General features: G+C 39.2%; 1 protein-coding gene across 3 annotated transcripts in view; it reads right to left on the bottom strand.

The window, feature by feature from the left end:
• Positions 1-854: 854 nt before the first annotated feature.
• The window catches only part of KLF3 (KLF transcription factor 3), a 37,319-nt gene continuing 24,190 nt past the window's right edge, over positions 855-13,983 (bottom strand). For 2 of the 3 annotated variants that reach the window (NM_016531.6, XM_047415764.1), the window contains exons 3-6: positions 13,301-13,787; positions 12,493-12,643; positions 7,466-7,626; positions 855-5,290 (exon numbers count right to left, since the gene is read on the bottom strand). In NM_016531.6, coding sequence (NP_057615.3) covers positions 5,109-5,290; positions 7,466-7,626; positions 12,493-12,643; positions 13,301-13,787 — 981 coding nt within the window. In that variant the 3' untranslated portion in view covers positions 855-5,108. Of the gene's footprint in view, positions 5,291-7,464; positions 7,627-7,819; positions 7,899-12,492; positions 12,644-13,300; positions 13,788-13,983 lie in introns of those variants that run through there. The other variant, XR_925142.2, reaches the window with a different exon arrangement.

The following is a 13,983-nucleotide window of genomic DNA, read 5'->3' as shown; positions in this document are numbered from 1 at the left end:
CTGGGCAACAGAGCTAGACTCTGTCTCAAAAACAAACAAACAAACAAAAAAGAAATATAGTGGAAGGATTACAGCCAGTCAACTGGACTAATTCAAGCCAATATTCCATTAGGATTTATAGTCATATACACTTGCTTTTGATCTTGCAATCAACTATCTTGGTATAAAAACAGAGAAGTTCCCCAGAGAAGGCTGGAGAGTGCCCCAAAGGCTGAATTTAGCCTTCTCCCAACCTCCTTTCATCTCCAACCTGTGAAAGTAAGTCATGTGGGAAGTGCTGGCCAGACATTATCTTGTGTTTTGCTAAGATGAAGTCCAGGCTGGAGGAAACTGCTGAGATCTAACAAGCTAGCCTCAGTTTCAATTACATTGCAGGGATGCAGAGGGAAGAGGAGAGGTAATTACATTTTGCCTTAAACAAAAGAACTCTAAATCCTTGGCTGGGTGCAGTGGCTCATGCCTGTAATACCAGCACTTTCTGAGGCCAAGGCGGGTGGATCACTTGAGGTCGGGAGTTTGAGACCAGCCTGGCCAACACGGTGAAAACCCATCTCTACTAAAATTACAAAAATTAGCTGGGCACAGTGGCGTGCACCTGTAGTCCCGCCTACTCAAGAGGCTGAGGCAGGAGAATCGCTTGAACCCAAGAGGCAGAGGTTGCAGTGAGATCACAACATTGCACTCCAGGCTGGGCAACACAGCGAGACTGTCTCAAAAAACAAAAACAAAAACAAAAACAAAAACAAAACAAAACAAAACTCAACTCTAAATCCCTATCGGAAACTACTTCTTCTTCATGTGATGCTGGAGAATGCAGTGTCCATGAACATGGTTACTAAAGGCTTGAAAAATAATTACTTTTATCCAGAGTTATTTACTTTAATGCGTTATTGTTCTGTTCCTCGTTCCCCACTCCCCAACATGAGAGTCTTGATATTTTACTCTAAAAGTTTAAAGTATTATACACATGCGTCTTTTAATACAAAATGCTGCAAGTTCTTTTTGGAAGCAGGCAGGGGTTCATAAATAACAAATACAAGAAGTATTTCAAGAATGAACTAGGTGAGTTTGTAGATTTTTGCTGGATTGTCTGCAGTTTTATGATTTCAGCCTAGGAGACTTCCTGTTGGCTGTTTTCAGAAAACCAGGGACATAGCTTGAGGGCTGAGTTAATTCCGGTAGTTCATCTTCCAGTTAGATCTATTTTTCTGTCCCTCCATCAACAATAACTGCCCATCAGAGTAAGTAATGTTCTAAGCAAGGGTTCTTACATTGCTCTGTAAGTTTTGCTCTAGTGATCACTGCATATGAAGTAATCACATGATCACATTTAATATTCTGATGGTTTTATTAACAAGTATATAATATATATTGCATACTGTATATAGTATATGAGGACTGTACAGTACAAATTTATGTTCACAGTTTGACATGACAAAATGTCATTACTGAATTCCCATTGGACTACAGAGTAGAAACAGAGAAGGTACATTAAACATTCACATCTTTAGTAAGAAAGATTACCAAAATGTTTCAGTATCTGCAAGTATACTAATGCATGCTAAAAACCTTTACCCATTCAGTCTTATTAGCTTATAAAATATATTACACTTTATTAAAAATTTCTGCATAGTTTATACAAGTATTAAAGTACTGTAAATGTAATAATCCTGCTATATTTGCAGGTATGGTTTAAGAGATGCTAAGCAGAAAGATTATTTTGACCCTCTAACACTAAGTACATAACAGAAAAAAAAGTGCTAGTATTTGTAAAACAATATTGTTGTAGCCCTCGTTTAATGCATGTAAAGATGGCTTTGTAAATGTATTGTTTAGGTGAATTTGCGATCATTTAGCAATTGTTAACCTTGACCAAGAAGAGAATAAAGACAGCTCGGAGCAACTTCATGTATGACAGCAATTCCTTCAAGACAACTGTATATTTTCAAACCAAATTATTTTAAAACCTTAGATCTTTCAGATTGTCTTTACAACAATCTAATCAGGAATGATGCGCATATATACAGTATCAGCAAAATAGTCTTTCAAATTCCACATTAGTGCAATACTGATAGTGCAGATGGGTGTTTAATAAAATATACATATACATATATAGTTCCCCTGTAATTCTGTTCCAAGGCTCTTGAAACTTCTGTGTATTTAGCATCTCCCTAGTTGAATATAGCTATGCTGCTAACACATTCTCCAAACCAAGCAATTTAGAATGTTAATGCCCATTTATGATGTAGATTCACATAACTCTAAAATACGATGGATTCTGATTCTTCTGACTTCTCTAGGATGACACTTGGGTAACAACTGAAGAAACTCTATAACAAACAGAATTTACGTAATAGTAACTTCATGTTTACAAATCATTCTCATCAATTTAAAATATTGCGATTGAAATCACCATTGATAGTAACATGACACACATCATTAAAACATGTTCAAGGGCATCTAATCTTGTATTTGAGGTCTTCCACAATAACAGCTAAAAATGACTAAGAGGCTAAATTTCTCAACTATCATAGTAAAATACAAATATATATATAAGAAAAGTTTGGTAAGGGCCAATTGGTAATGAAAGCGTATTGACCAGCATGGGAATAGAGAATGGCCGCTCTGGGTTGCTTTTGTTCAGAGTTAAAACGGATCTTTGTTAAATGAACTGTTAACACAATCTAAGCAAGCTGAACAGTAATGTTAAGAGTCTTTGCAAGGTCTTGCTTCAAATCTTTTGAACAAAATTTAAATATGCCACAGCAAATGCATCAATTCCATGAGATGCCCATGAGGCTATTCACTGAACTCAGGCTCAAAGCTGATCCCAGATCAATCTGATCCTTTCTCGCCCTTTCCCCCACTTCTCTATGGATTGGAACACACATAAACTGGTTACCTCGGTCAAAACAAAAAGATTTTCCTTGCGTTCCATCTTGATTCTTGTGTGTTGTGAAAGAACCATCTCAAGAAATGAACACTTTGCCATGAATATGACTAAGCATTTACAATACAGACAATATCTACTTTTCAAAGAGCCATTTTATCACTCAATTCATGTCATAGTTGCAAAAAAGAAAAACTTCAGCTGAAAAAAAAATTATCTTTGCCTTTAGCTGAAAAACAAAACAAAACAAAAAAACAGCCCAATTAGGATGTTTTAGTATCCTAAAGAAGTTTTGCAGTGCTTTAAAAAAAGGAAAATCAAACCCAAGTGCCAAGATAACACATTTCTTTGCATTTCTTAACTACATTTCTTTACAGCTGGTTCACAGGGCGGATGAGTGGGACCTCTTAGCCTCTTAGGTGCACAGTCCCTACAACTTTTATTAACACAGTGCCATCAAAGCAAGCTCCCCACACAATTCACAGGCCTCCGGAATCACTCATTCACAGATGTTTTAAAAATGATCAAACAATGTATTCCTCCCAGTTAAAGTTGTGTTGGATCCTGAGTTGCGGCTGGGATGAATCTTCAGGATTTCATTCTTCTCTCTTCTCCTCCATTCTTGATGAAGGGGAATTTGGTTATATGCACCCACATTTAACTACTGTTGCTCACTTTCTTCAAATTCAGGACCAATGACATTTCTATGTATGAATTATTTTTATTGGCATTTAGACTATGGTGCTCAAAAGCCTGCTTTTGAATAACTTCCCCCAATAATGGTGCTATTTATCTTCAACATAAACACGAGCCATTATTTTCAGTTTGTTCTGACACTGAAATAGTGATAGGAAATTGCCAACTCTAACAGTAAACTTTTGGGAATTTTTGAGCTACATATATGAATCCCTGATCTGTGGTTTTCTATATTTTCTCATAAATTCCCAAAATAAAGGTATGTGTGCTTCACAACTAGTTATATTTACAAATAGTGTCACTCAGGTCTTAATTGAATCAATCCATTAAAGCATTAGCAGATGCTTTATGGTATGTGTCATGAATACAAATGACAGCCAATTTGGCACCTTAACAGCTCACACAGGAAGAGTTTCTGTATAAAAGCTATGTGATTAATTTGATAAGGGAATACAAGTACCACTCAACATTTCCCTGTTTACAAAAAAAGCTATAAGCAGATTGGGTAAAAGAAGAACCATCCATACTCTTACCCGAAAGATTTCTTACCATTACTGGGCAAATATTCCATGGAGTCCCTACTATCAATGTTTGATGATCTCATATTAAGGACATTGTAGGAATGGAGATAGTTGCATGGATAACCCCATCGGTATATGGCTTTGCAGCATGGTTCTACAAAGCTGAGTATGCACAGAGACTGAAGCTCTGGGAATGCTGCACACAGCTAACAAAATGTTGAAACCTCACTGACAACCCCTAGCCCAGGAGGAATTGCCTCTTCTGCTCCCCCTGCTAAATGGCCCTCTCCTCCGACTCCATGCTATGAAAACACAGCACCCTTCCCTTGAACTGCTACACATCACCCACCTAGATCGAAAGTTTGGGCTCATCTCCCATTGGTGGCAAAGACCTCCATATGAGCTGCAGGCACAAAGGAGGGCAAAGAACTCGATTCAGATGAAGTCTAAGATCCAGGTTGACAAGATTTGTGAAGAATGACGGAAGAGGTGACTGCACTAGCTTGAAATCTGGCTGTACTTCTAGCTAACCGGTGCAAGGGGCCACACTTGTTTTCACTGTCAAGCATAAAATATTATCACAGGGCAGAGGTAAGAATGTCTCTGGCAAGGACTAGCAGTCTGGATACTGTATTTCTAATACATTTACTCTGACATTCTTTTGAGGAATACATGGAGAACTGACAATTGGTTATGTTAGTTTACATGTTCCCTTGTTCTTATTACATTAAACGTATCTGTAAGAAGGGTTTGCTTAGCATCCCCAGAAAAAAAAAAAAAAGTGTTCACATTCTTTAGGTCTGACCCGTGGTAAGGAGAGGGAGGATTAGAGAACATCTACTACTGACCATATGGAAGTTTTGGATGATATAAATTCAGAGATTCAGACCAGCTGAATCAAATTAAAATGTACATGTAAAAAATGTGTTAGATAATGGGAGGCAGGACAGAGAGAGAGCCAGGTGAGTGGGGAGTCACGCTGAGGCAGGACACAGAGGCAATCAGACTAGCATGTGGCGTTTCCTATGGAGGGCAAGATGGTCAGAACGGGAGAAGCTGCGGTCACAGTCCGGGCACTGGAAAGGTTTGATTCCAGTATGTTTTCGGAAATGTCTTGTTAGTTCATCAGACCGAGCAAACTTCCATGTGCACCCTTCCCATGTACATTTGTAGGGTTTTTCTCCTGCAAAAGGAAAAAGAAAAGAGCTATTTTTTTTTTCTGTAAAGGTAGTAAAGATCTTTGAGTTAATGCTTGACAAATATTATTTCCAAGATATGTTCATACATTTGTTCTTCAATAACACAGTGCATTATAAACTACTGCAAGACAAGCAAGAAGAAAATGAACTAATACCGTAATGTTTCATTGGCTCTCTGCCAAAAAAACGGGAGGAGAATTTTAAGAGTTCTTAAAACACAGAGTCACTGAAATCCATTCTGAGGGACTACCAAATAGTGAATGAACACATGGTGATCTGTATTTGCACATCTCCCAAATCTTAAACCTGCTTGGGAGCTTAATTATATGCAGTGCTATTCATTTAATGAGATAATGAGAACTCCAAATTGAAAGTTTGTGGGATTTTCTTAAACTTTTCAATAGTTTTCCAAAAATATGAAGTCTCTAACAACTGAAGTATCTGTTAGGGATTAACATCTTATTTTCTTGTTTAGTCAATAACAATTAGGCCTAAGTATAATGCTTTAATTCAGGGGTACTAAAATATACGAATTCTTCCCCATCTGTCCTGAGCCAGGTTTTCACAACCCCCTCCTGTAGGATAAGGATCATTTACAGATGAGGAACAAAAGCTCCTTGTGAGAAAATGATGGGGAGAACCAGGATGAAGGGAGACCCTCACAAATAAAAAGGCTGTTATGGCAATCTTACCTTTTAAATTAGTCATAAGGGTCATGAGTATGACAAAATTAACTCCCATTTAACACCCTTTGTTCTCTAGAAGCCTTGAGGGATTACCATTCCTTGGCATTTGAATGAGATATGCAGGATTTCTATTATCTGCTTCCTGGTACAGAATACACACACAAAGAGGCGTTTTTTTTTTTTTTTTTTTTTTCCTACATCTAAACTGTCACCCAAATATTCAATGTCCTTTTAATTTTAGGCTGGAAGTGGGTAACATCCACCTCTTCGGTCCCACTAATGCCTCAAGGATGCCCTCAGTAATCATCGATTTGCACTGCTGTTTGGGCGTTGCTCTAGATACAAGGCTATCACCCTCAGCTCTCTCTGTGGGTGTTAGCTTCCTCTGCCTCCTCCCAGGATTCACTTAAAAACTTCACTTCCATTTTGCCACTTTCCTTCCCTTTTCTCTTCCAAACCTCAGATTCCTCTTTGTAAATTTTCTGAGTAAAAATGATTTGCAAGACTCAGAAAAGCAACCTACACTGCTAAGGAAAATGTACACAGATGCAAACTGCTGTCAAACTAGAATTCCACATCAAAGAGTTTGAGGTGAGATGAGCCTTACTGTACATACATCACCACTACTAATGGTCAATCAGGCTGTTAAAAGATGTCATTTTTAATATTTTTTAGAGACATGGCCTCCCTATGTTGCCCAGGCTGGACTTGAACTCCTGGGCTCAAACAATCCTCCTGCTTCCACCTCCCAAGGAGCTGGGACCACAGGTGCACGTCACTGCACCTGGCTGTTAAAACATTTTTGTATTATTTCCTTAAGATGTTTTACTACCAAAATGTTTGGCACTGAGACCAATTTCACATTTTTCTCGGCCATGTAATGACTTTTATATGATCTGGCTGCTCATGCTCTATATTCAGTATTGGGCGAGATGGAAGAAATCCTAGAACAAATATGGTAGGCAACGGCATAAGAGTTCCCTCAAGTTTAGAAGACAAATATTAACCACATTTCTTCACTTTTCTTTCCTTGAAGGACAGTCTTCTATTTGAATTGTTTGTGTTAAACTGTTGCATTAATTTGTGCTGCACAAAGACTGTTCGCTCTCATGAATTTACAATGCAGGTATGTGAAATAGCTCACAGGAAGGCCACATCCTTGACTGTGAAAGCACTTCCCCCATTCCAGCGGCGAAGGCTCCAACCCTTTCTCCCTCCTTTGCTAGAGAGCACAGAACTGCAAGTGATTGTGAGTGGCCTTGTTTTGGGGATTACTTTGAATCTATTCTAACTTATTACAAAGGCAAATCATTAGCAATATCTTCATTCTGCACAACTAATCTGGAGAAGACACATCTGGAGATGACTGTGGTGACTTTCAAGATGCCTGAAAACTTTGATCGTAACAACCTTTGCATTCCATTCTAATACTTCTTAAGAAGAAAGATGAAGTGGGTCTGGTGTTTCTATTACCTGTGTGTGTTCTTCTGTGTGCTTTCAAGTGGGAGCTTTTAGTGTACACTTTGTTGCATCCATCATAATCACATCTGTGTATCCTCCGCTTCCTTTGAGTATCCGGGGATTCCACAGGTAAAGGTCTCTTCCCAGGCTGCACGATGACCGAAGGGTGATTCCTGTGAAAGCCAAGGTTACAGGCCAAATGTTGAGAGCACGCTCTTCCTTTTTCATCAGTCTACTAAAAGCATTAACAACACTGGGCAAAAACAAACAAACAAAAAATCCCAACAAAATAAACAAAAAGAAATTAGCTGATCAACCCAAGAAGCACTGCTATATTCATTCAACAAACATTGAGTGAGCACCTACCATGAGCCAGGCACTGTGCTTGGCACCGGGACACAAAGATGAATAAAAACAGGGTTCCTGCCCTCGAGGAGCTCACACTCTAGGGGGAGACAGACATGGAGATAAGTAATGACAGTAAGAAGGGTTAAGTGCTATGCTAGAGGCAGGCACCAAGTGCTGGGGAGGCTCTTTTCCTCAGTCAACTTCTGCCTACTTATAGAATCTTGTGGTTCTAGGCAATGCTGAACACTATATTTTTTCACAGGCTGCTCTGATTTTCATTATTGTTGGCTAGGGAAAAATGGAAAAGATCAAACTCCTAAGTCTCAGGAAACCACATTGTAGGGTATATCTACGTTTTTATCCTTTATGTAATTGGCATTTAATTGGAGTCCCTTAGAGACTGCCAATTCATGTGCAATTTTCAAATGCCAGCTCTTCCAAAAAACAACAAAAAAGTTGGCATTGCTGTCTTCACAAACTCAAACCTCCACTGTCACTGTGATTCCTGTATGAGGGAGAATTTCAATGTAGTGTTGTGGTCACCCATGATGCTGGCTCACGTGGTGCCGGCTCCCCCATGGCATGCCTGACGTTCTCCCTACCTTCCTGATTTCTCTCTCATTCCTGAGTTTGCACCTTCCCTGGGTGGATTAGAAACCAAATCCTGTTAAAAATCTTACAATCTAAGCTTTTTTTCAGCAAGAAGGTGGTGGAGAGAAAAGGGAGATGGAGGAAGAGCTGGGAAAAGTCTGTTAAGTTCCTCAGGCTTCCCCTGCTGATTAATGTAAGTAATTATAATGTTCTAATCTGCTCATTCACTTTCCTAATGACTAATTACTTGATATATCACAAGTGTATGTCATTGGCCTCTAACTGTAATGAAAGACTTCTTTCTCTTTCATATTTGAATCTATAGCTCCTAAAATGTTCCATATAATACAGGAATATTTTGCCTAAGTGTTTGAGGAGAAAAAAGGTGTGTGAAAAGGAAAAAAAGAATTTGATGAGAGTAAACACTCTAACTCGTGAGCTTAAAAAAAGAATAAAAGAAATTTATCCATAAAAATCAAAAGGGAGTCTCTTGGTATAAAACTTGTCTTGGTAAATATTTGAATACACATCCCTTGTCAATCACTTTTTCAGGCATGCTAAGAAGTGACTAGAAAAAGAATAAAAGGTGTGTTTCTTAAGTGACCTTACTTCTCATGCTTTTTTTTTTTAAAAAAAACATTATTTATTTACTGCTCATGCTTTATTATGAGCAAAGGAAACTGTCAGTTTTGACTCTCACCTTCCTACTCTAATACCTGGAAGGGTGGTAGAGATGGATAAAATAGGCCAAGTTTAGATACATGGAAAAGTGAACATAAAGTAGTGAGGAGGGAGAAAAGAAAAATGACTTCAATTATATATATGTATATATATACACATATATATACACGTATATATATATGTATATATATGTACATATATATATACGTGTATATATATGTGTATATATATACATATATATATATGTGCAAACAGCAGAGAACACAGCAAAGTGAGAGGTTTACAGACAGAGTTTTTATAAGGCTGAATTATTCATTTAAAATCCTTCAATAGAAAGAAAAAAGTTCAGTTTATTTTTAACTTTCAGCTTTAATGCCATCTAATGAAAATATTTCATTTCCATTAAAAGAAATTCAGGAAATAAAGTGCTGGGGTAGAAATTTAATTATTAACTATAAAACTTTTATATGTCTTTGGGATACTGGGAGACTATCTTTTTCAGATAACTTTAGAAATCTCTCCCAATTATTGGATTTTATGGGTTGGGAATCTAATCGTTTCTGTGCAGTAATTCTGACTGCCCTTTCCAGTTGTTTATTTTACACATAAAGGTGCACCGAAAGGCTGTGGGCTCCAGTTACAAATCCAGCTCTGTCACTGACAGTCTCTGTGATCCTGGGCCAAGATCTCGCCCTCTCTGTGTCTTAGTTTCCTCTCTGTAAACTGGGGATGATAATAATGTTATCTCAGAAGGTTATATCTCGGAACAATGTCTGTTCCCAAGATAAAGCTATAAATGGTAGCCATGAATATTTTCAGGTTCAAAATAGTCTATTTGTAACTTTGTACCCTATGGTTGTTTAATTTCATGAGTTTTTTGAGGATGTCCCCAAACCAGGATATCTCTGCTTGAGCTGTGTCCCTCAAACATTCTGAGCACAGTTAACCTGCCGCATCTCTGAAGACGCTGATGTTGGTTCAGGCCAAGGCTAGATGAAGAGTCTTGGGATCTCACACTTTTTGGTCTCCACTCCCATTTTCAAAGAGATGGTTTGGGATTATTATAACCAAGAAGTTACAGAGCTAATACATATAAGATATCTTGTCCACTGTTTTGAGCTGAGACAGCCCCTCTTAAGTTTGCTATAATTCGCATACACAACTCAATAGGGAAATCTGATCCTTATGCTTTTTGTTCTAAATATAGTTTTGTATATTTAGAACAAAGAAATCTTTTTGTAAATCTGTAACAAATAGAATTTGATGTACCTTTGAGTGCCTTTATAAATAATCCTAAAGTTGCCACACCACAATCGAGCAAATGGATTTCAAAGCTGTACTTTTAAGTCTGCCTCTGGAAAGGAAGCGTTTCTTAAGGCAAATATTATTGGGGCTGCCTCACTGCAGTGGTACTGGGTGCCTAGTTTCAAGTGATTCTTTCCTGGCTAGCTGGTTTCCTACGTGGGCTGCTACTGGGCATACTCCAAGACGTTACTTAATCACATCTGTGAGAACATTACTTAAAGAGTACATGTCCCAGCTGTGGCTAATCTGTTGCGTTTTTTTGAGAAGCAGAATGTATTCTTAGGTCAGCATTAAAATAAGCATATTACTCATTAATCATTAAAAGCCACTGAGCTTGAGATCATCAAAAGAATATTACTTAAAATAAAAGTATTTTCTTTTGAGCAGCATTCAGAGCACAGAATATTGCCTTCAAATCTTCTTATGTAATGTTTTACGTTGCAACTCATAATAACCCAGACTTTGGAATAACACTTGTCCAGTCAACGGATCCCTCCCTTGGAGGCAGTTGGTTTTATTTAGTTTTATAGCATCTCTTTCATCACCCATGCAGGAACAACTATAAGTGCAGGCCACGTTGCTAGTTACCTTGCCAGAAACATCCCTCAACATAAAAAAAGAGTTAATTCCACCTCTAAGATGTGTCCATTTTGCCTAGTCATTTTTTCCTTTCACTTGAGTGCATGAGCAGATGCAATGGGTTGGATATGACAAGATGGCAGGAAAAGCCCTGATTCGGAAGCAGGAGATCAAGCCCAAGGCCCCTCAGTTGTTAGCAGGGTGAATATTGGCGAGTTATCTAATGTCTCAGGTAATCACTTTGCCTTTTGCTCCGACTCCCACAGGCTTGTTGTGGAGGAATAAAATAATTCCTTTGAAAACACCTGGGAAGGTTTTTTTTGAGGTAAGAGGGCACTATGCAATTGTGAGGAATAATGAAATATAACTCCATCAGAGACTCTCTCCCTACCTGCTGATGAAGTCGGCTAAGAGTTATTCTCTTCTTCATCTATTGGGGAGCATATGACAACCCAAACCAAAAATGACTATGATTGGGTGCAGTGGACAATTAATCCATGAGCTACTATGAAGGTACCTACCCAAGCTGAATGTGGATACAACTAGGATATATTTGAAGTTACCATAAAATAGTTATTCTAAAATCAGAGAATTCACATTCTGCTGTAGAGTTAATTGTGAGAGGGAGCGGGGTACAGGGGGTAGAGAAAATAAAGGAGAAAGGTGGGTAGAACATTTATTCAAGTTGGAGGAAAATGATGCAGGAGGACAATGGAAGGGACCCTGTGGAGGTAATCGTTGCCTTCGTACTAGGAAGCTGGCTGCTGAATCCAATGCTGAAGCACCATAACACAAGACAATCACAACTACAATCAATAATGAAAACAGAAATGGGGCAGCAAGATTAAGTGACTAGTCCAAGATCATACATATGGCAGAGAGCAGAGGTGGGATCCTTGTTGGACCCGAAAACCATCTTCTTAGCAACTACAAACCCAGCCTTCAGTGTAATCACTGGTGGAGGTCAAGGTTATCTACAGCAGGATCCCACAAATGAGGTTACTGAAGCTGTGTGTGGCAACTACCACATTATACCATGTTAGACCTACAAGAAACCACCATTCAGGTGCTTGGATGCTGACCAACACTGCACAGCCTTCCTACTGGATAGCAATTCTACAGGATACTATACACTCTGTAAGGACTATGTGTGTCCACATGAAAACTTTACATGATCCACAGAACACCAAGTTTAATCTATACAAGGATTCTCATAATGGAAAAACTAAGTATACATAGCCTGGAAGAATGGAAAAAAAACAAAAATAATTCATGTGGTAAGGTGCAAAATCATGGATGACTGATTCCATGAAAACTTGATGTAACTTTTGTCATAACGTTGTCAGTGTAACAGCATATTGTTTTTGGAGAGATTCTCCCATCTTGACCAGTGGTACTGGACCAGTGGCGGCCACAGATCACAAGCCGTTCCTGGTCATCCACACCACATCACACGTGTGAAATCTTGTGCTTCTGCTCCAGGTTCCAAGATGCACACTACTATGCAAATGCTGGGTAGACCTAAATATACTTACTCTTGCAACAATGCTTGCGGGGGGGACACTGAGTTCATTAAGGGGGGTGACATTTCTTCAGGATAATAATCTGTCCTCTGTGGTTCGATCCCAGGTTCTATTTTAATTTTTTTCTGTGATATAGGCTTCTCATATGATTCAATTACAGGTACTAAAAAATAAAAATAGAAAAGTCACTTCACGTACAGTTTACCAATTTCAGCTTTTAAAAGCTTACTGCATAGCTCCTACCTACAACACAGATATGACAGGTTTATTTGCCTTTGGCAGACTATAGCAGGAACAAATCTGTGGGAGATTCTCACCTCTCCTGACCATTATTTTGCCAGTAAGCAGCAAATATAGGGACCTAGATTATAAGACACCAGCCCTGAAATGATTCGTTCTTATAATTCTGGATTATTTCCTTTCAACCCCTTAGTCCTCTATGACCAGCTGATAAACAAGGTAGCTTTTGATCACCATTAGTTTTCACCACAATCAAAAAGGATTTATTAAATGCCTTTTGTACCTAGAACCATGTTGGTATTCAAGAAAGCAACATAAAGTCAAGATTCTTTCTATCCCCAAGTTGACCATTACATAGTGAAAGTAATCATGTCATGGTATCAAACAGACAGCCTGATTCTTGGGATCTCTTCCAGTATCAACACTTTGGGGGGGCGGGGGAAGGAAATGCCTTAGGCAGATGAGTATTTCCTTTGAAGAGTTCAACAGCTCTTGCCCCCATGCTTCCTCACCCACCCCATCTGGTGAAGCGCCAGTACGCTAAGCAAGTGCAGCAGCATGGAGCAGTGGCGGAATTTACCTTGCATGCTACTACTGGAATTTTCCATCTCCTCCGATAAGGAGACCATGAGAGGCTGCTGGAGGTGACTTGTGTACATAAAGGGGACGGGCTGCACCACCACCGGCTGGATGACGGGCAGGATCCCCGGGCTCCGTATTCCATGCCGCGAGAGGGCAGCTGCCATCACTGGTGGCATGGACAGCGGCACGCCGAAGGGCTGCACGCCTGGAGAAGGGGGTGAGTATTTTTTTATCGGTGGGCTGGAAGAAGGCATGCTCAACCCAGGCGAGGCTCTCCGGTGTGAGGACGGGAACTTCAGAGAGGAGGGCGAATTCCCAGCCGAAGGGGGTGAACTCCGCTTGTTCACCGTGAGGTCCACTGGCTCCATCTGTATTCCGTGCGACAGACCTTCTGGGGTCTGAAAGAACTTCTCAGGCAATGGTGTGGAGTAGATGACCCCATACTTGTTAGGCTTCATGGATTCCATGTAATTAGATGGGTATGACTATTAGAAAAGAAAAGGAAAACGTGTCAACAGCCAAATAAGTCCATTTACTTGAAACATGAATTAAGAAAAATATGCTAACAAGGCACTTAACAATTACATGGGCTTTACAAAATAGTTTAGATTTCGATATATATGTGACCTTAAAAAAATGCTCAAAGAGGTGGTCTCAACATTAAAAATGCTATGAGAGGCG

This window comes from Homo sapiens, chromosome 4 (assembly GCF_000001405.40).
Source record: "Homo sapiens chromosome 4, GRCh38.p14 Primary Assembly".
Classification (NCBI taxonomy): domain Eukaryota; kingdom Metazoa; phylum Chordata; class Mammalia; order Primates; family Hominidae; genus Homo; species Homo sapiens.
The sequence above is the reverse complement of the archived record's forward strand: the minus strand, read 5'-3'. Positions and strand labels throughout refer to the sequence as shown.